This window comes from Homo sapiens, chromosome 13, assembly GCF_000001405.40.
Source record: "Homo sapiens chromosome 13, GRCh38.p14 Primary Assembly".
Lineage (NCBI taxonomy): Eukaryota > Metazoa > Chordata > Mammalia > Primates > Hominidae > Homo > Homo sapiens.
Window position 1 is genome coordinate 43,234,596 of NC_000013.11, and position 23,132 is coordinate 43,257,727.

The window sequence follows — 23,132 nt, forward strand, 5'->3', positions numbered from 1 at the left end:
ATTTAGAATTGGTTGTATATGCTTTTTATTGGAGATCCTGACTAATATTTTTCTTTCTAACACACTTGATTTAACTAATTTTATATAGTTTTTTGTGATACCAAAGACATCAGCAGGCATAGCATGTTATAAATGTAATCTTCCTACCTACTCCCATTAATGTACTGCATATAAAGCACATCATTTAAAAATATTTGAAGTAGCCAACTGAAAAAAGTACATGTATGTGTATACATATATAAATAAAACCTAATAACTACTTAGAAAACATTTTAAATGAACTGTGTTCTCCAATTAAAACATAAAAGAAGCAGCTATCTCTAGTGAAAGGAAGGAAATAAAAAAATAGAGACTGGTTCCCATTTTTTTAACCTTCAAGTGGACAGAATTCTTCCTACTTAAAGAGGGAAAAGTTTACTGCAGATCATTAATTGCTTTGTTCATACCCTAAAAGCATTATAGGGAAAAATCACACCTTGGTCACACTGAGTGACAGAGAAACAGTTGTCAGACTTGGACATGTTTTCCAATAGAAGAAAAATCCAGTTACCAACTACATATGGGTTCGTTTTGGGTTCCTGGAACTGATAGCACATCAGCATGTCTTCTGAGACTCATGCATGGCATGTTATTACAGCTGTATATCATCAGAGCAAAAAAAAAATAATTGGTTTTCCTGGGAGTATCTCTAAGTTGATGTCATATTCAATAACCCTGTAGTTGAAAAATCTATATATGATGGATGGACTCTGGACTGTCTTTTGAATTTAATTCCTCATGTGCCAGCTTCTCTAGGTCCTGTTGTACCTGTCATTTTTAGGTGAGCACATGCAGTATTTACAAAATGCACCCAGGGACCAGGCGCGGTGGCTCATGCCTGTAATCCCAGCACTTTGAGAGGCCAAGGCAGGTGGATCACCTGAGGTCAGGAGTTTGAGACCAGCCTGGCCAACATGGCAAAACCCCATCTCTACTAAAAATACAAAATTAGCTGGGCGTGGTGGTGTGCACCTGTAATCCCAGCCACTAGAGAGGCTGAGGCAGGAGAATCACTTGAACCCGGCAGAAGGAGGTTGCAGTGAGCCGAGATTGTGCCATTGCACTCCAGCCTGGGCAACAGAGTGAGACCCTGTCTCAAAAAAAAAAAAAAAAAAATGCAACCAGGCACTATTTCTGCCAGATAATGAACTGCTGAAGAACAGTTTGTCTTGCATGTACATTGGCCTCATTCTTCAGTCTTAACCATGCCACCATGGAGCCAGTCTCACCTGGCAACCCCACACTGGGGTCAGTGCCAAGGTGCAGCTTGAATCAGTTCTGTGCATCACAGCATGAGGGTGGTGGCTTCCCTTCCTCTGAATTTGAGGGCTTCAAAGACAGCCTTAAACATACAGGCATCTAAGATGGGCTTCCATGCACACTGCCGGCACATCCTCATCAAGAATTCTTCCTCGTGAAAATAAGTAAGACATCTGGATCCACTGAGGATGCTTCTTTTGTTCATCCTGGACAAAAGGATCCATACTTGGACAGGGAAGCCTGAAGCCGATTGTCCTGGATTAGCCTAGCATCAGTACCCTGCATGGCCCTATTTGTCAGCATTGCAGGTCTAGCCTTGGGAGTGACTTTAGGATGTGGCCTCTGCTAAGGGGCTTAGAGTTTAATCTCAGGGTTCAAAGCTGCTCTTGAGCCTGGGGATATGGCTTGGTTTGGAACTAGATGCAACCTGGCCTCCAGTTGGAAGTGACATGCCCAAGCTTTGAAATTCAGATTTGTAACATGTGAGATGCAACTTAGCGTATTCTTGAACTCAGTTTCATGTCTGACAATCAGTTAATATATACAGTTACAGAAAGGCAAAACCCCCATTAGTTTGTATGCCACTAATTTGAAATGTATGTAATATAATCTTGATGAAATTAATCTCACCTTTTACCAGAAGGCAATGCTGTTTAAATTAATAAGTTAATAACTAAAATATTAAGTTAATTACCTAATAATTATTTAAGAGAACAGATGAAGAAAACAGAATTTCCTTACCTATTAGCAGAGCTTCTTTCTCTGATTTTAAGCCTTGGCTTCTTTTCTCAATATTGTTCTCTCGGTCTTGGTTGACTAATGCAACTGTCAACACATTGATTTCCTATAAAGTTAAAAGCCAAAAACCATATATGGGTTTATGTAGATTCTGTGCATGTCAATAAAAAACACCAGATCTCTTAAACTCTATAAATAAGGTCATCACTTCTATTTATAACTAAAGATCAAATCTTTTATACAATTGATCTATTTGCCCAAGAGTAGAAAAGTAATTATGTAAAGTTAGGCTCCTAGGTACTGCTCCCCGCATACCAAGTAATTCTCTGCACAAGTGGCAAATTTGGCACAAGTTATCTTAGATTTTTGTCCATGTTTTCATTAAACTCTGTTCATTAAAACTGTGTTTGATTATAGCTACTTTAACATGTTTTATTTCAAAGATGAATAATCTTTGGGAAAGCATACAGGAAACTGATTTATAATACCATGCTAAAAATTTCTGAGTGTGTGGAGAAATAGGGCCTATTGGGGAGCTAAGATAGAATTGTTAGAAGTGTTTTTAAATTGAGTAGGTATGGATCCTCATGAATAAATGCAAGAGGCAGATAAAGCAAAGCTTGGTAAATTCTTTTTTTTGAAAACTAAAAATGAAGAGTTGTACAACAAGCCAATAACACGTGAAACATTGAGGCTGGACTATTTTTAGTTCTTTCTGTAGTCTTTTACATTTAAAAACAGAGATGAAGATTTAACTCATATCATCCTAGACTTTTGATATTAGGACTCAAAATGGAGAGTGATTTAATGGAAAGTCAAATTAATGATCTGCATAGATGACCTGCATATATGGGATAGTAGAATCATTAGGGAAGTTGAGTCTTACTGGAGGAAAGTTGCTCACTGAAAGATGGCTCCAAAGAAGGACTAGTATATGAGCAGTGGTGGGGAACCTGCAGGGATGATAGAGAACAGGTACGGAGAGCCGAATGGACGAAGAATTCAGAAGGTTTGAACAAATGTGTTGACAGGTGTCCCTAGAACTGGAAGTGGTTATAGGAGAGATATTTAGATAGTTAGTACAAAGTAACAAAACTGGTCAGATCCAAGAGTACAGGAAGTATTGGGAGCATGCCGAGCCTGCAAAAAGTGAAAACCACACCCGAAGGCATTCAAAGAAAAATAAACCCAGCACATGCCATCAAAACAGATCTTTGAGCTTAATTTAACTTATGAGCTACCACTTTGTAATCCAGGGGTAATTAGAAATTGCCATGAAAGAAGGCTCTACTGAGAAATTGCAGTTGGTAATATCTGATAAGCATTTTAGAGGCTCCACTTAAGGTCCCACTTATTTGCTGAAGACCAAGTGATGAAGACTGAATGAGAAATGAAAATGGATAAGGTAAAGAATTGAGAAAATCACAGTGATGTGATGATATATCACAGGGAAGAACTTGGTTGGCTAGAGGGTATAACAGGCCTCAGGCTGATGGTAGGAAAATCCCAATAAGGACAGGAGTCAGAAAGAGTTTGGGGAGTGGTCTAAGCTAAGTCTGGAGCCAGCTGTACATCAAAGGTTACTAGAGATGAAAGATGCTCTTACAAATCAAAAACAGGATCTTGGGAGCAAGCCTCAATGGAAACACAATGAAGAATTTTAAAATAGAACAAATCCAAAGGCTTATTATGTAGATGGGATTAGAACATTTATAAAGAGGAATTGCAGGAAAGGAAATAGAAATTCCTGCTATGATAAAATAACATTTGGTACTTTCCGATTAGGCTGATTAGGCACTTTCTCCATTGGAACAGAGCAGGTCTGTGTGTACACATCATCTTTCTAGGGTAGTGGGGTCAATGGGCCTGCTGAATTCTGTTAGTTGTATGCCCTAAGGACAAATAGGTCCCACAGGGACATGGCAGATGGACTTCCAGGCCTGGGAGGTTAAGATTGTTGAGCAGACGCAAGCTGAAGCTTTGTAAGGTCTCCCAAGAGAGGTGTAGGAAGAAAGTGGATGGAAGAACATTAACTAGGATAATGATTGCATCATTAAAAAAATACAAAAAATGAACCCTGGAGCTGAGTGGAAATAATATCTCCAAGAGAGGGTGATCTGTTCACAGCCTGGATGATAATTGGGGCCAAATGAAATTATTCAGAATGAGTTTAGCAGATAACAGGCCCACATTAATTGCCAAGACTGAGTGGTGTCCTGGGGCCATCACACAGTTGAAGATCCAGGTTCATTGAGGGAAATGGACTGTAGAGGGCAGGCAGATGTCAGGAGCCAGCAGAGAAAGGCAAGGGTGGAACAGACAGACCACCTGAGAATGCTGTTTTCTCCCCAGGTCCAAAAGTGGAGTCACATAGAAAGGGGGACTCTGAGCAAGGTTCAAAGAAATACTGCTGCATCAACAATGTCTACAAGGAGCCAGATAAGACCCAGTGACTCTTGCTTTGGTGATGTTTTAGGGTTGAAAAAATTAGTATGGAGAGATAAGAGTCTTAGGGTCACCATTCTGTGGAAGTATTTCTTGAGATTGGATACTGGAGTGTGTGCTCTGCTGACCACAAATGGTGTGTTCTCATGCAGTCATGGCCAGTGACTGGAGTGGACACATCTCTCTGCATGGCTCCCACAACAGTCCAGCAGGCCTTGGCTTGATGGACACCTAAGGCTTGGCAGACATCTCAGCTTTTGGGGACATCTGTGAGTTTTGTCCAGGTTGGAGATGGAGCTGTTTTTCTGACTCCTCTAGGAGGCAGAAGAACTATGCTGGAAGTGGTACAGTATCATTGAAGCTGATCAGGCAGGCTCCAAGGAATGCTTGCTTGCATCTTATAATAAACTGGCCTCAAGAATCTCCAAAAGGGAAAACATCATTTCCATTAGAGTCAAGGGTGTGTCCAAGCATATTAAATAGTCTATAGCATAGCATTGAGTGAAGTGGACCAACTTGTGACCACTCAAAAGAGTCACTACTGACTAAGCTCCAGATGCTAAGCCTGCCTTGGGCATGGTATAAGCTCAGGCTCTTGCTGACAAAGTCACAGAGCTAATTAGATGGGTGAATGCTTATGTCATCCATTTTGCCAAAGAGAACAGTTAAAGTTAATATAGCTGTGTTTCAAGGGATAGAAGACAGGATAGTGATTTTAGACAGCCACATTATATGTTGTAGTTTTACCTTTTCCAATTATTAGAAAAGGAGAGTTTTGTTTTAATGACTCACTAATCATGGGTTCCTTAGAAAAATAAGGTTAATTTGATTTGTCTGTATTTATATTGGTATTGTTCAGTTGAACAAGATAAGGACAATTATCGATAATCTCCAAGTATGGGGTAGTCTACAAAGTAGATATAAGCAACAACTGTACCCTCTCTCTTTGTTTTTATTTAATGTCTAGAAATCTAAGTTATCACATTTGTCAAAAGAGCTCCATCATCATGATTGGTTAAGGCGAAGGGAATACACAGAGAGAATGTGGAATTAATTAATTCCCAAACCAATTCCCTGTTGCACTTAAGCTAAGCCTGTTTTTACTTTCAGCCACCAAATAAATATTTCTGCTACATATATACATCACATGCCTACTATATGCCAAGAAGTTCTAAGTTTTTAAGGATATGGCATTCAAACTGATCAGAAGTGCAAGCTTACCCAGGGACCAGCAAGCAATTCTTATAAAAGGTCTAAAAGAAAGAAATATGAGAAGATGAAGCTGGAGAAGTAGGTAGATCATGGTAAGAAGTGTAGATTTTATCTGGGAGGCTTAACAAGTGAAGAGTTTTCAGTTCTGCATTTTAGGACATTGGTTTGGAGGCAAATGAAACTGGAGTCAGCCTACTGCAAAAATGTATCCATTTTTGCCTTTTGATGATGACAGTCAAAACCCATGCAGAGTGCAAACAGCATTTAAGAGGTGGAACTAAAAAAAAAAATCTGGTGACCTGGTGGCTGATGAAAATATTGAGAACAAGTAGGTGGCTCAGTGAATAGGCAAATGGAGAAAGAAGCTAGTCTGGGAGAAGATTGTGTGTTCAGTTTTGGAAATGTTCAACTTAAGGTTTCTATAGCATCTTGTCAAAATATTTTGGAGGAAGTAGGATTAGCCAGGAAGTAGGATGTGCACGTTTCTGAACTTAGAAGCAAGGCTCTGACAGCTCTTTTTATGGGGCCTTTCTCTGGTTTTGTTTGCAGCAGGAAATCTTGATGTTTTCTTGTGGGACAAAGAGCAGGCTTGCTTACACTTGATATAAAAAAGGTAGATTCCTAAGCTCAGTGTTTCTATCTTGTAACACAAACCACTGCATGTGCTGGCATCCTTCTGGACCCCTCTACGGAGATACTGAGGTTATAAGATCCATGAGAGTAGACTGGTGAAGCCAAAATTCTTCTGGGAACAGTCTCTCAGTGGGATTTCATATTCTCTACACAGGACATTCCAACTTATCTTTTTAGTAATTGGGGAACACATAAGGACATTGAATCATAAATTACACATGGTTTTGCTCCTTTCTTAAAAAGTTCATGGTCCTTATTACTCTCTCCACCCCAAATCTCTAGAGAATGGAAAGGACCTTATCAGAATGGGAAAGTTTTATCATTAGAAACATAAAGTTATGAAGACCCTTTATCCTTTTATCACCTTAAAATCCTTTAGCCTGATAGATGCAACATGCCCAGAAGAATGATGAGTCTACCAGATATTCCAGAAAAGAGGTTCCAGATGCCTAGCAATTACAAAGTAGAAGTGAGTGAGTGGGGATGGAGTGGGAGGTGAGGAAGGTTACTATGTATGAATTGTTAGTGGTATACAAAGTACACAGCGGGACGGGAACATTAGGATGGAGATCAAGAGTTTCCTCTCAGTGAGATCTATTGGATTATGAAGTAGTCTCCCAAAGGAAGTGGGAAGAACACAGTAAAAGCACACCAGACTAGAAAATGCACTGCAGCTAACAATTCTGCACTTGACATGAGATTGGAGATTACCTAATAAATCTTTTCTCAGCCTACCTTTTAACTCTAATTTCTGTGATACGTAGAAGGAATCATTAAAGGGCTGGAGAAGAGGTTTTCAGTAACTGGAAACTAGATGTCACAGACTTTTTAAAAGACTTCTTAAAGAGTTAGCTACTTGAAGGCAGAAATTTCCCTTCTAAGAGTCCTCATCACTTACTTTGAGAAATGATCAAAGTAATTTATCATTTAGAGGAGCTCTTTTTCAATAGCTTATTGAGCTAGAATCATGCTTTGTTATTTTGTTTTTGTTTCTCTCCACCTACCCAAGCCCCTAAGGACCAAGAAAATGGCTTCCCTGCCTTATAAAATCCTTCTGCTACTGCTTTCACTTAATTATTCCTGTGGCTTCCTTACCTTTAGGGCTGTTTTCTTTCTGTTGCAAAGCTTCTTGAATACATGTTGTCCACCTGTGTCTACTGCCTCATCATCTGAAATCTCAGCTTTTTCATCAGTCACTCCAACAAATCTACTCTGAGATATTTCCAGTGACCCTCTTCTTGCCAAATGATTATTTTCCCAGTCCTCTTACCATGTGATATTTGACACCCTTGACATTGGCCCCTCTTAAACCATCTGCCTCACATCTGCTACACAGGAGGTCCTGGTCTTTTTCCTCTTAATTTCCTGTTTAGTCTTCACTGGCTTTTTTGTTTCCTCTGCTGGCCCAGTGAATGTAAAGAAGAGGCTACTCTCTTCCTCCTCTTCTCTAGCTTTGGCCCTTGCCAAAGTGTGCTCCCCAATTTTTCTTACCTGTTCCCTTTCTTTCATTCTCGTGGGTTCAGCTATGATCAATCTTAATTCTTTAAGCTTCTGTTCTTTACCACCAACTGACCACTGGGCTTGTCTGCCTGAATTTACCAATGCCCAGTTCAAATTCAGAATGAGAGGTGGCCATGAGGCAGTGGAAGAGACACTAAATACTTGGGTTTCAGCCTTGGCTCTTCCTCCAGCAGCCAGGTGACCTTGGCAAATTACTCAACATCTTCAAGACCCAGATCACTTGTCTAAAAATGAGGGGCTGGGTAGGGCCAATCATCTTTGAATAGTACTTGATGGAACCTCATTAGCTTTATAGAGGTGACATGGATGGTCCAAGGGGACACATCTCTGGAATTCTACTCTTTCACTCCTTTCTTTTGCTTAATGATACAGGGCTCCTATGTAAAGCTTCATTTAAAGAAATGTCCTTAGGCCGGGTGCAGTGGCTCAAGCCTGTAATCCCAGCACTTTGGGAGACTGAGGCAGGTGGATCACTTGAAGTCAGGAGGTCAAGACCAGCCTGGCCAACATGGCGAAACCCTGTCTCTACTGACCATACAAAAATTAGCCGAGCGTGGTAGTGCATGTCTGTAGTCCCAGCTACTTGGGAGGCTGAGACAGGAGAATTGCTTGAACCCGGAAGGTGGAGGTTGCAGTGAGCTGAGTTTGCACCACTGCACTCCAGCCTGGGCAACAGAGTGAGACTCTGTCTCAAAAAAAAAAAAAAAAAAAAAAAATCTGAGTCCAGGTCCTTCCTAATGTAATTTTCTAAAATTCTATAATTTTATGACTAAAACCCAGTTCATCTCACTCGTCAAACTGCATCCTCTTCTAACTTTTCTGTTTTTATTAAAGTCAGCATCATTCTTCCACTTGCTGGCGCTCAAACCCTCATTTTGTCTTTGATTCATTCTCTACTATCCCCTAAGTGCTTTTAAGATGTCTCTAAATCCAAATTCTCTCAAGTGTCTGTGAGATGTCTCTCCTGCTGCATTCCCATTTCCACTAGTGCTCTACTCTCGGTTCTACGTGTTTCATACTTTGTTTTAGGGATGCGGTCTCACTATGTTGAGCAGGCTGGTCTTGAACTCCTGGCCTGAAGCGATCCTCTTGCCTCAGCTTCCCAAAGCACTGGGATTACAGGCATGAGCCACTGCACCTGGCAGATTTCACACCTTGACCATTTTAACCGCTGCAGGAACCTCCTACTTTGTCTCTGCCTCTAGGCTCTTCCTCTTCCAGTCTATCTTACATAATACCACCAGGTCAATTTTCTAATATGTGACTTTTATCTCATCTATCTCTGGTTAAAACTTCAGATGCTTTCTGATAACCTACAGGAAAAAGTCAGATGCTGCTGCTTGGCATTTTGGGCTTACTCCTATCAAACTAGCATATCTTCTTTCTATGCTATGTCCAGAAATGCTCTTGGAAAGCTCTCTCCTCCTTGCCTTGCCACTTCCTACTTACATTTTACACACAGCACAAGTCCTGTATCTCCCAGAGGCATCTGTTTCAGGCCACTTGCAAGGCTTCCTTATCTGCACACATTTCCTACGCCACTTATATGGCAGTTCATCACTTATACATCACATTTCACCTATTTGTTTCCTCCACAAAACCACTGCCTTCTTTAGACAGTAATCACATCTAAGCAAGTGAGGCAGAATGGCCGAATGGAAGCTGTGTTCTAAATCTGTCACATTATTTACATACTAGATAACTTTAGGCAGGGCATTTCTCTAAGCCTTAACTTTCTTTAATGAAAAACATGGATAATACCATGTGCCTCTTCCCCATGGTTGCTGTGAGGACCAAATATAAGTGAGACAGCGCTTTCAAAAACTATAAATTTCTAGGAATAGATTGTGGCATGATTATTACAACCATTACTCACTTTTATGATTCACAGGATTGATTGGATATGGAACAAGTGTTAATATATACTTGGGGTACTGAATCCATGCAACAATTCTGTATAAGACTTTGACTACAATTATATAAAAATATTTATGCAAAAATAACTGTGGTTGTATTCAAAAATAGTGGATATTTTCTATTTTCTCTATTTTTCTGTCAGTGTTGTTGTTATTATCCTTATAAGTAAAGAAAGAAAAAGAAACCAATGATATACAGTTGTTGTTTTGAAGAGCTATAGGTAAGGACAGCCAGTTGCTGAATACTTAATTAAGTAACATACTGAGTGACATCACCCACACCCTAAATAGAGAAACCACCGCCATGTGACTTCCCCTATGACCCTCCAAGGGCTGGCGGCCTCCATAGCTGCTAGTGCAAGATGAGTGGGACAGTCGACAAGATCTATGTGGTAAAGATTCTCCATGTCACCCCGGACTCTGCCAGCAGCATACCACAAGGCTCGTTTTCCTTCCCTGCCTGCTTGTTCCATGGCCTTCTTGTGCTGTTGGCTCAGTTCTGCTAATTGCTCATAGGCCCTACTCTTAAACATCACACTTCATGAAATCGGGGGCCCTATAGATAATTGTCAAGATGTGTATCAGCTACATTCTTATCCTTTACTCACATTTTGCAAAGTTTCAAAAGCAATCCATCAAATGATGTGCCAGTTGCCAATAACCTTCAAATTATTCCTTATATGATTAGAACTGTGGTTGGGGGAGGATGGAGAATGGAGATATCCCTTCACACTTTCCTTTATGGGCACATAGCAGGTGCCCAGTGGCTGATAAATGAAAGAATGAGCCTCAAACAATGGCCTGGAATATTGAAAACATGATGATTTGGACATAGAAGACACTGGTTCTATTTGCCGCTGGCCTGCTGTGTTTCTTTGTTTCATTTTTGCTGTTTGTACAAAGACAGGATTGAAGTGGATGACCTCCACAGTGTCTTCCTGCTCCCTGATTCCATGCCTGCTCTGTGCCCTTTTCCCTGACTTGGACCTTCCCTTCAGATTCAGGTAGCCAGCTTGGTACAGACCATATAAACTTATCCTTTATTTCTGATGCCAGTAAGAATTAGAGAGGAAAGAGGAAGCAGAGTGAGAAAAACAATAAAAAACCAAATGGATGAGGAAAGGATTGATGAGCATGAGTGACTAAGCTTTAGAATTTTTTATGGTTTCTTATGGGAACATAAGAATGCATCCATCCCCCAATAGTGAGCAGGATCGCAGGAATTTCCTGTGGGGCAGCAATCCCAAGGCCTTGCTGATCTAATCAGTTGTGAAATCTTGGCACTGCCCATCCCGAGGGTCGTGGGCTCTCACCACCTCTGCCCTTTCCCAGCAGCCTTTGATGGTCAAGGTCTGTATAAGGGGAGCCTCAGAGGCCCAATAGTTTTCAGCATCAGAGAGATAATCTGAAAGCAGATGTGTGGGGCTCCAAGATGCAGTGATTCATCATGATGTGACCATATTTTACATTCTGAGATGTTCCACCTTATTGGGGTTCAATTGCCGGATCGGAAGCACATACATTATGTCTTTAGACAACTCCAAGAACCGTGTTTTCTAAGATTTCCAATTGCAAAGATTAAAATAGGCGAGAACTAGTTACGGCTCACACGAAGGACCCTTTAAAGAAAGATAAAAACTCAGTGTAGTTTACTGCCAGAGATATCCAGATACAGCATTTATCCTGGTGGCCTTCTTTCTAGGTCATCTTTGGTTATATTTATTTAACAAACATCTGTACAGTACTTACTATATGCAGGAAGTGTTATAAGCACTTGACAAATATAAACTCAATTGTCATAAGTGCTCTTCGAAGTCAGGCTATTACATTCTTAATTTACAGGTTAAGAAAATGAAGAATAATGAGGCTAATGACTTGCCCAAGGTCACAAAACTAGTAAGAAGCAGACTCAGGATCTGAACCAATGCTGTCTTGCTCCAGAGTCCTAACCACTACACTAGGTTGCCGGTTGCGTGGATATTGAGTGCCTGTGGCGCTCTGTGACCAAATCCCTCCTGAGGGCTGCCTATAGTCCTAGCTCACTCAGGAGCCAGCCAGGCTCCAGGCAGGCCTGGTGAGCTGTGGTTCTTGCATAAACATGAAAGGAAAGGGGAGCAGGGAGGAAGCCACCCACGGGCTGGCTGAGGAGCAGCATTAGCAGGGACTGAGGGGGCTGGCTGGCTGCTGCTGTTTGCGGGTGACGGACTTCTTTAGTGTGACTTTTAACCACAGTCTGCAACAGGGAGGGATTTCAAAGGCAGAGTGCTGGGGCCAATGAAGAAGAAGAGGTGGGACACATGCTCTCTTGATTTGAAGGATGTGGGTAGGGGAAGGCCAAGGTCAGAGGAGCACTCCAAAAGACTGTGGTTGGGCCACATGCAGGATTGGCTGGGCAGGTGGAGAGGCTCAGGCAAGGAGGCCCCAGGTGCTTCTCCAGCCACACCCCAAGGATGTGGCAATAAGGTGGAACCACAGAGGTGACAGGAAGAGAAAGAAAAGGTGGATAGAGAAGCCATTCGGAAGGAATGGAAAGAAGCCATTCTGAAGGAAGAATGGAAAGATTCTATGTGTGAAGCAGAGAGGGGCGAGCTAAAATCATTTAAACAAGTCAGGTCTACACAGCTAGCAGAATATTGATACCAGAATCAGAGATCACGAAGAATTAGAAGTATTGCCTCTAGGCTGGGTGCGGTGGCTTGCACCTGTAATCCCAGCACTTTGGGAGGCCAAGGCAAGTGGATCACTTGATGTCAGGAGACCAGCCTGACCAATACGTTGAAACCCCGTCTCTACTAAAAATATAAAAATTAGCCAGGCATGGCAGCATGCGCCTGTAATCCCAGCTACTTGGGAAGCTGAGGCAGAACTGATTGAACCCAGGAGGTGGAGGTTGCAGTGAGCCGAGATCACACCACTGCACTCCAACCTGGGCAACAGAGTGAGACTCCATCTCAAAAAATAAATAAATACATAAATAAAAAAGTATTGTCTCTAATATTTTAAAATATTGGAGCTGAGGTCTTAGAAAGGCAGCTGGAAATAGGGAAGATGAGGGTGATGAGCTCTCACCACCTGTGCCCTTTCCCAGCAGCCTTCCATGGTCAAGGTCTGCACAATGGAAGCGTCAGGAGATTTTTCATGGTAGTACTTCAGGCTGTGAAGGGCGTGGACTTGAGTAGCTATAGCAGTGTGAGTTACATTTTCTACATACTGAAGAGAAACAGCTATTTTTGAGATCAAGTGTATTTTTTCATTTGGTTATATCTACCGTGGCATTCAGGCTGGGAATACCCCTTTCCAGCCTCTTGCACGGTCCCAGTGCACCTGTTGTCCCCACAGAAGTAGCAACAGTGCTGCCTTTCACCCTCAAAGACATCTGTTTGAATTTTATGTGATGACTGTACCTATAATCTCTACAGAGCAACAGTGTCCTCAGTACCTGGCACAGTGCTCTGTACACAGATGCAACATATATATATATATATATATATATATATATATATATATATATATATATATATATATTTTTTTTTTTTTTTTTTTTGAGACGGAGTCTCGCTCTGTCGCCCAGGCTGGAGTGCAGTGGCGGGATCTCGGCTCACTGCAAGCTCCGCCTCCCGGGTTCACGCCATTCTCCTGCCTCAGCCTCCCAAGTACCTGGGACTACAGGCGCCCGCCACTACGCCTGTCTAATTTTTTGTATTTTTAGTAGAGACGGGGTTTCACCGTGTTAGCCGGGATGGTCTCGATCTCCTGACCTCGTGATCCGCCCGCCTCGGCCTCCCAAAGTGCTGGGATTACAGGCGTGAGCCACCGCGCCCGGCCGCAACTTATATTTTTAAAAGAAAAAATATAAATAGTAGACCCTCTAATATTACATCAAATGAATTTGTTACTACATAGACAGGCCAGACCTCATGGGTGAAAATGACTGGCCATCATAAGGGTTTGGTCAGTACCCTGGGCCTGGAGTCAGCTAGAAGTCTATGAGGAATATATATGTATGGTGGATAGTGAAAAAAACTATGCAATCGCTTTGGACATTTTACAGCCTTTTGGTCCCTAAATACATTTATTGTAGTATCATTTTAAAATAACACAATTTCTTTAATCTCGTAGGCTGAAGGAGGTAAGGAAGTTAATTTTTCATTTGTATCTATTATCAATGCTTTCAATGTTTTAAGTATTAACTTTTAATTTTTTTGGAGACCAAACCATAAGCTTATAACCTTTTTTCCTTTCTTTTCCAAAATATATAACCTTTTCTCTTTCTTTTCCAAAATATAAGACATATTTTCTAGTTGACTTTCTTAGTAATAACCTTTGTTTTCTCATTACAAATAAAAATATGTATTCACTGTAGAAAATATACAAAGTAAAGATTAAAAATTAACTGAAATTCTACTACCAAGATATAAATGCTATTAACATTCAGATATTTGCCTTTTATAGTTTATATATAACCCCCTCCCACATACATATAACATATATATGTGTTTGCATATACACATACATGTATATATTGTTGTTTAACTCTTATTTGAAAAATAGGATTATGATACATATATAGCCCCCAAGTAGAATATTCTACATAAAGAACAGAGACTTTGATAGGAAAGGATCATTTCAATTTCTTAATGTTTCCCATTAAATACTAAGAGGATCACTGCTGCCTGGATCATAACTTAATAATGACTATCACAGTTCACACCATGCTTAAATTGTGGTCTCAAGCTGGCAATGAAATGACTTTCTTTTGGTCTAGTTTTGTGACAGCCATGTTAAACAAAAATGATCTAAAAATGAGAAAAAAAAAATTCCTTTGTATCCAGTAACCCCATTCATTATTTAAACTGTTGTAGTATTTTATTTTTAGTTTTACTATATGCCACTGTAGACATAACCAAATGAAAAAATACACTTGATCTCAAAAATAGCTGTGTGTTTCTCTTCAGTATGTAGAAAATGTAACCCACACTGCTATAGCTACTCAAGTCCACGCCCTTCACAGTCTGAAAAAGTACTAACATGAAAAATCTCCTCAACCAATAAAACTAGAGCAGCAAACAGAAGACATTCAAGTGAAATACTTTTTAAAAATGTATGTATGTGCATCCAGAATTAGTCGGTTTGATTTATCTTGTATGATACTAACTCTATTGCTGGTAAAGATTAATTTTATTATGGTGCTCCTGGCATGTTATTTTCTCAGTTCATTTCTCAGTATGACATTTCTTATTTTTCTCTGCTACAAAGCACCCACTATCATAATTTTCACCTGCTGAGTTTATGTTACTGATGATAATATTAAAATTTAGAGGGTTTTTTGACCTTTCTAGTGGTAAATTAGGTCATAAAAATAGATGGGACACAATCTGATAAATGAGAAAGAGAAAGATTTGATTATTATTAAAGTAAAATCAAATTTTACAAGGTTTTCCTGGCATACTGTGAGATCTTAGTAAACATTGAATATCTTCCTTCTCTCACACCCCCAAATTGAATTCTCTCTATTCACCGCTGCCTTGCATATGCCACACATGAGAACTATTCCAAGAACCAAGCGTTCCTGATTGCTTCTGCATGGTGCACTGGAGATCTTCTGATTATAAACCAAATAATACAAATAATAGTGGTGATAATAATACTAACAGCTTTTATTGAGTGCTTGGTAGATGGCAGGTGCTGGTCTCTTACTATCTCCATTTTATAGATTAAACACTGAGGCACAAGTATGCCTCGCTGTTTAATCTGTAAAATGGAGATAATAATAGTAAGTAGCTTCCTTAAGTTCACACACCTGGAAGTTAGTGGCATCATGACTGGGCCCCAGGCAGTGATACCCCAGGGCCTTTAGTCCATGCTGCCTTCTGTCTGAATGATCTCTCCGGAAACTATAGCTTCTCCACTTGGTTCAAGCCCTTGATCCCACCCCAAGTCTGTTCCTTACTGAGAAGCCTGCAGTCAGTCTTGAGTGAGTTCCCTTTTCAGTTGTGTGCCCTCTCTTCATTGGGCATGTGCTCCTGGAGGACAGTGACTGCTCTGTGATCCAATGTGCTCCCAACAGGCGGCATTGTGCCTGTCATGTGGACTTGGATGGACCTTGTTAGGAGCGGCTAGTTATGGGTCCACTGACTTTTTTTGCATATTATCCAAATCAATGTGATTTCTTAAGAACCAGAGTCTCACAATTACTAATGATGTATTTTCTTTTGGGGGCTGAATGGCAGCAAAATTCAACATTTGGATTAAATGAAGTATCTGTACACCTCAGTTCAGTATAATTTGATTGAATTTATTGAGCCTCCTCCTCTTTTCATTTATTGAGTACCTACAATAAGGGTACATTTTGTGTTAAGACAACAAGATTCAAAGATGAATAATAGTGGTTCCTGCTATCAAAGAATGTAGGAGTCTATAGGGCAGCCAGCTATGTAAAATGTATTAAAATACAGTATGATATAAGCCATATAAAATATATTAAATACAGTATGATATAAGCCATGACAAAGGAAGAGCCAGGGTGCTGGGGAAGCCCAGAGTGGCACCTAGCCTGTCCTGGGGTGGAGAGTTTGTGGAAAAGTATGGTCCACAGACTGGTAACACTGGCATTATCTGGGAGCTTACTAGAAATGCAAATTCTCAGGCCCCAGCTTGGACCTGCCCAGTGGAAAACTCTAGGGTAGGGCCCAGCAATCTGTGTTTTAAAAAGCTATCTTTGATTCGATTGCTTATTAAAGTTCGAGAAGCATAGCCTCAGAGAACATAAGACTCACAGGCACAACAATTAGACAAGAAAACATATATCTAATTAAAACCTGTAAAATAAGAAAGTTGGATGATGTGATCTCTACCACCTCAGTTTTAACTGTCAGTCCACGAGACTTTTATACACATCTTAAAGTTAACTGGAGTGATGTGTGTTTATCTTCAAGATCACCTGCAGATAATATGCAGAAGGAAGATTTGTACTTCTCACCTAACCACTCCAAACAGATTCATGAGCTGACTGAGGCTGCTGCACTTCCATCAATGCAATCATCAATCGATGAGTGTTACTAATGTATCTACCTGCATAGGCTCATTACTGTGTTAGGTTCTGCAAGGAATACATACAAATTCTCCACTTTAAGGAACATGATCTGAGTTGGGGAGATAAGCCTGTCAGAAGTGGGTTGTTCAAGATGGTTGGAATGATGATAAATTGTAGGAATCTAGAGAAGATGGTGATTGATTTGGACTGATCTTAGGGTAAGGACCTAAGAAATGGGAATTGAGGTAGGCTTAAAAACAGGCAGAATTTGCATTGCAGACAAAAAGGGCGATAAGATAGATGGAGAAGCTGAGTTATCAATACAAAATCTAATTACTTAGAATTTTTAATGAATGGTGCACCAAGCTGAATTTGACCTGCTGACTCAAGCCATTTATTCAGGAAATCAGGCCAACATTTTTTCTGAATACCAGGCTGATGGTTATTCCATTTTCACCAAGGGGACTAGTTTGAATACTGTCATATAAAATGGTCAGGAATGATATATATGCTTACAGCTGTGAGACTTATATGTTATGCATATATGTGTGTGTGATTGTGCGTGTGTGTAGTGAGGGGACAGAGAATTATACTGACACAGGTACTGGGGCTTGATATAGATTGTAGTTGTATACTGTTCCCATAGTTTCAAGTCATCTTCCTAAAAGTTGGCATGGAAAGAAATTGCCTTTGCAAATTAGATTCTGCAAGTCTCAAACATAAGTAGCTCACCAGCGTACACTGAACAGTCTGGAAATTGTCCAGACAGAGAAAGCCACTCTGTAATCTCACAGAGAGGCTGATAGAACAATAGAAACGACGTGTTACTGAGCATCACGGCCACAAGTCTCCCCTGCAAGGACAGTTTCAAGCTGGGAAAGCTGAGACTTTGAGGTTTTTCTTGGAAAAAAAAATTAATAGATTTCTGCTCTATTAAGTGTTCCAAGCCTGGCGGAATGTCTTCAGGGGAACCTAGAGTTTTCAGAGAATGGCCTCCATATACCTGGCAAGGTGCTGCTGCCCAGAGAGGGTGACAGGGAAAGACTTCCCTGGCTCTGATGTCTGCACAGCTTAGAAATGCACTCTTTCTTTTTATTTTCTTCTTCAGGAAACTCTTGCTGTCTTTCGATAAAAACATAATTTAAAACTGTAACAAAACATGTGAATGTCTTTTCCTTTGGGCAACAGCTTTCCTTCCAAATTCAACTTTTGCTCTGCCTGAATTAGGAACACGTGGAGGAGATAAACATTGAGGTGCAGTTTGCTGAATTTCTGACTTTTGTGAGACCCTAGGTTAGATTTAAAGCCACCAGTGTGGGGTTCATAGTCTTGGAGGTTTGATTTAAATGCCCAGTTATAGCTGGCTACAAACAGGATGTCAGGTCCCCCTGGGCATGGTGGCAGGTCAGTAAGGAGGGAAGGTGTAGCTGCATTTGGTGGCCATGAACTCACAACTGGGGATAGTTCTCACTGTTAGGCCCCAGCAAGGGAAGGGGGGATCTCCATCAGAGCTGGGAAGAGTTTTGAGGTTGGAAGGATTAAGACACACTCCAGTTTGTTGTGGGAAATTTAAACATATTTATTGCCAAGTCCAATCTTTGTTTCCCCCAGGAAGACCACCAAACATGTTACTTGTAGACTGACATTTGAGCTTTTTTGCTTCCAATTCAAGAGCCTTATTTTAGGATAAGCATTTCATTAAGTGTGGATATTTGTGCAACTGCAAACATACCTTTGATGCAAGCAGATTTCACAGCTAGAGTTGGCAGGAGAGCTGCATGATGGTGAAAACTGCTGCTCTGCCGCCTGCCAGGGTCAATTTAGAAGGGCTGACACGCAGGGCACCACGACACTTAGGCAGCTCTTCCTGTTCCAGTCTTTCCCGCCTTTCTTCCCTTTTTTCTTCATTCTATCTTTGTACCTACTTTTTTCCTTGTCATTTTCCTACATATTTCCTCAAAGAAATGCCACATCCCAGTGAGCTATGTGTCAATGAGATGGATGAGGTTGGAGATGAGCAGTGTGTGAAGAAATAGAGAATGACTGCCCTTTGCAGCACTGCAGAACCATCCTGGGAGAGCTGGAGAGTACCAGGCAAGGAATCCTTGCCAAAGACCAATGTCAAAGATGGAGTCAGACCAGCACTGGCTGGTGCATTTCACAACTCTCCCCTTCCTGGTCTCACGTGTGGTTAGCAGAAATGAAGTGGTGCGAAAATCACTATGGAATATTTAATAATCTAAATCATAAAAACAAATGTCTAGGAAGCCCTATGGCTCCTGAGTAGCATACAGAACTAAGAGGAAGGGGAGTTCACCTGCTGGTGCATCCTTGCTCCTGGCTGCTTTTATACCACTAATCCTGGTGCCTTGTCCCCTCCCCTGCTGCCTTCATGAGGCACTAGGGTAATCTGCTTCTGTCCACCTTTTGGGCTCCCGACTCTTTCCATAGATGCTACTGAATGTTCCTCCTGTTCCTTGTTGCTCAGGGTATCAGGCAGTGCTAAGCCATACCTCTTGTGAGGCAGGAATACCGTAATTGAGCCCTCTAGGTTTATTTGACTTTAAAATGATATTGCTTGCATGCAAGTCATGTCTGTATGTTTGTATATGCATCCCTTGTTGATGGTTTGGAGCTTACCTGGAACTTCTTGGCCATAAGTAGAAATAAATGCTTAATTTTGGGGTTGGGTTAGAACTCATTTTGTTAAACTTTAAATTAATCACTCTTCTTAATCTCACATATTTTCTCGAGAGGATGGACAAGTCTCATTTGGGTACGGATGGCCATTAACCTTGGTCTGGGGTCCATACAGAGCATAGGCTCTAGAATCCCTAGGCCACAAAGAAGGTTCGGACATAGAGTTCACAGCACACGACCTCAAATAATATATCTAAGTATTGTTCTCCTAAATTATTTATGTAGTATATAAAATTTGCCTTTCTCTTCAAAATGCAAATATTATTGAGGCTATTTCCTCTCCTGTTGAGGAACTCAGTCTCTTCTCTATGTGGTAATATCTAGCCATTATTATGGGCTGTTTATTTCATTATTTACCAAGTAGGGGCTTAGCTTTAATTAAAAAAAAATCAGTGAATCTTCCTCTGTTCCTAAATTCCAATCAAGTACAAAAGCTTCCCTATTTATAAATTGCTTTAAATGATAGCTGAATTAACCAATACATTGTCAATATCCACTGCTTATTATCCATGAGAACAAAAATAAGATTTTAAAGTCCCACAGCAGGGACTGATTAAAGAAATTAGAGTACATCTGTGGCATGAAATATTAGGCAGTCATTAAAAATCACAAAACAACTGATACCACAGAAAACACAAATGATCCTTAGAGTCTATCATGAATAACTATATACTAACAAATCGGAACACCTAGAAGAAATGCATACATTCCTGGACACATATAATCTACCAAGATTGAACCATGGAGACATAGAAAATCTGAACATACCAGTAACAAGTAATGAGATTGAAGCAGTAATAAAAAGTCTCTTACAAAGAAAAGTTCAGAACCTGATGGTTTCACTGCTGAATTCTACCACATATTAAAAAAGAAGAACAAATAGTAATCCAATTGAAACTATTAAAAAAACCACAGGCCAATATTCATGATAAACATAGATGCAAAAAATCCTCAACAAAATACCAGCAAACCTAATTCAGCAACAAATTAAAAAGACCATTCACCATGACCAAGTGGGATTCATCCCAGAGATTCAAGGATGGTTTAACATATGCAAATAATAAAGTGGTACATCACATTAACAGAACCAAGAATGGAAACCATATGATGATTTCATAGATGGTGAAAAAGCATTTGGGAAAATTCAACATCTCTTCATGATAAAAACTCTCAACAGACCAGGTATAGAAGGAACATACATCAAAATAATAATGACCATATATGACAAACACAGTTAACATCATACAAGATAGGGAAAAACGGAATGTTTTTCCTCTAATATCTGGAAAAAGATGAGAATACCCATTTTACCACTTTTACTCAATACTGGAAGTCCTAGCCAGAGCAATTAGGTAAGTGAAAGAAAGAGCATCCAAATTGGATGGAAGAAGCCAAATTAGCCTTGTTCACAGATGACATGATCTTATATTTAGAAAACCCTAATGACTCGGCCAAAAAACTGGTAGAACTGATGAATTCAGTAAAGCTGCAGGATACAAAGTCAATGTACAGAAATCAGTAGTATTTATATATGCCAACAGCAAACAATCTGAAAAAGAAATCAAGAAAACTCATTTACAATAGCTAAAAAAATGTAAAATGCCTAGGAATAAGTTTAAGTGAAGAAGTAAAAGATCTCTAGACAATTATGAAAGACTGATGAAGAAATTGAAGATTACACAAAAAAATGGAAAGATATTCCATGCCTATGGATTGGAAGAAGTGATATTGTTAAAAAGGTCAATACTACCCGAAGCAATTTACAGATTCAATGCAATCGCTATCAAGATACCAGTGACATTCTTCATAGAAACAGAAAAATACTATGAAGCCACAGTAACCAAAACAGCATGCTACTAGCATAAAAACAAACACATAAGACTGTTAAGAGTAGAGAACCTAGAAATAAATCCATGCATTTATAGCCAACTGATTTTCAACAAAGGTGTCAAAAACATAGATTGGGGAAAGGACAGTCTTTTCAATAAGTGGTGCTAGGAAAACAGTATGCAGAAGAATGAAACTAGACCCCTCTCTCTCACCATGTATGAAAATCAAGTCAAAATGGATTAAATACGTAAATGTAAGACCAGAAAGTATGAAACTACTAGGAGAAAACATTGAGGAAATGCTCCAGGACACTGGTCTACGCAAAGATTTTTTGAGGAAAACCTCAAAAGCACAGGCAGCAGAAGCAAAAATAGACAAATGGAATTACATCAAGCTAAAAAGTATTTGCACAGAAAGGGAAACAATCAACAAACTGAAGAGACAACCTACAGAATGGGAGAAAATATTTGCAAACTCTCCATCTGACAAGTGATTAAGAACCGTAATATAAGGAATTAAAACATAAGGAACTCAATAGCAAAAAGACAAATAATCTGATTAAAAATAGGCAAAATATCTGAACAGACATTTCTTAAAAGAGGACATACAAATGGCCAACAGTTTTATGGAAAAAAAAAGATGAACATCACTAATTATCAGGGAAATGCAAATCAAAACCACAGTGAGATGTCATCTCACCTCAGTTAAAATGGCTTTTATCAAAAAGACAAAAAATAATGGATGGCAGTAAGGATTTGAAGAAAGGGGAACCCTAGCACGCTGTTAGTGGGAATGCAAATTACTACAGCTGTTGTAGAAAACAGTATGGAGTTTCTTCAGAAAAGTAAAAATAGAGCTACCATATGATCCAGCAATCCCATTACTGGGTATATATTCAAAAGAAAGAAAATCAATATACCAAAGAGATGTATTGATATATTGCAGTACTATTCACAATAGTCAAAATAAAGAATCAACCTAGTGTCCATCGTCAGATGAATGGATAAAGAAACTGTGATATATATATATACACACAATGGAATACTATTTAGCCATACAGAGAATGGAATCCTGTCATTTGCAGCAACGTGAATGAAACTGGAGGTGATTACGTAAAGTGAAATAACCCAGACATAGGAAGTTAGACACCACGTGTTCTCACTCGTATGCGGGAGCTAAAAAAGTGGATCTCATGGAGTTAGAGAGTAGACTGGTTGCCAGAGTCCAGGCAGGGTTAGGGTTGGGGATGAAGAGAGGTTGATTATTGGGTGCAGGAATACACTTAGATAGGATAGAGTGTGATAGTTCAGTAGGTTGACAAGAGTTAACAGTAATCTATTGTATATTTCAACATAGCTAAAAGAGAAGAATTTGAGTGTTCATAGAATAAAGAAAAGTGTTTAAGGCAGATGATATCCAATTGTCCTGATTTGATCATTATACATTATATGAATATATGAAAATATCACAGGTACCTGAAAATACGTACATCTATTATGCACTGATAAAATACATTTTAAAAACCTATTTAATAACATGGGCAAATGCTCATTATTGATAAAGAAAAATGTAGGTTGTAAAATTGTCCATATGATATGCTATAAATTTGATAAAAATGTATATACATGCACATAAACAAAGATAATGGAAATACAAAGAAGTGGAAACTGATTTGTGAGTGGTGAGATGGCAAATGGTTATCTTTTTATTTTTTCTGCATTTCTACATTTTCCACAAAAAGAAAATGGTACTTAGGGATAACAGTATTTATGCATATTTATATGTATGTATATTGGCTCTATAAA

General features: G+C 39.7%; 1 protein-coding gene across 27 annotated transcripts in view; it reads right to left on the reverse strand.

Annotated features, from left to right (window-relative positions):
* Positions 1-23,132, reverse strand: part of ENOX1 (ecto-NOX disulfide-thiol exchanger 1) — a 573,843-nt gene that overhangs the window by 21,466 nt on the left and 529,245 nt on the right. For all 27 annotated transcript variants that reach the window (NM_001347965.2, NM_001347963.2, NM_001347971.2 and 24 more), the window contains one exon: positions 2,041-2,143. In NM_001347965.2, coding sequence (NP_001334894.1) covers positions 2,041-2,143 — 103 coding nt within the window. The remainder of the gene's footprint in view (positions 1-2,040; positions 2,144-23,132) is intronic.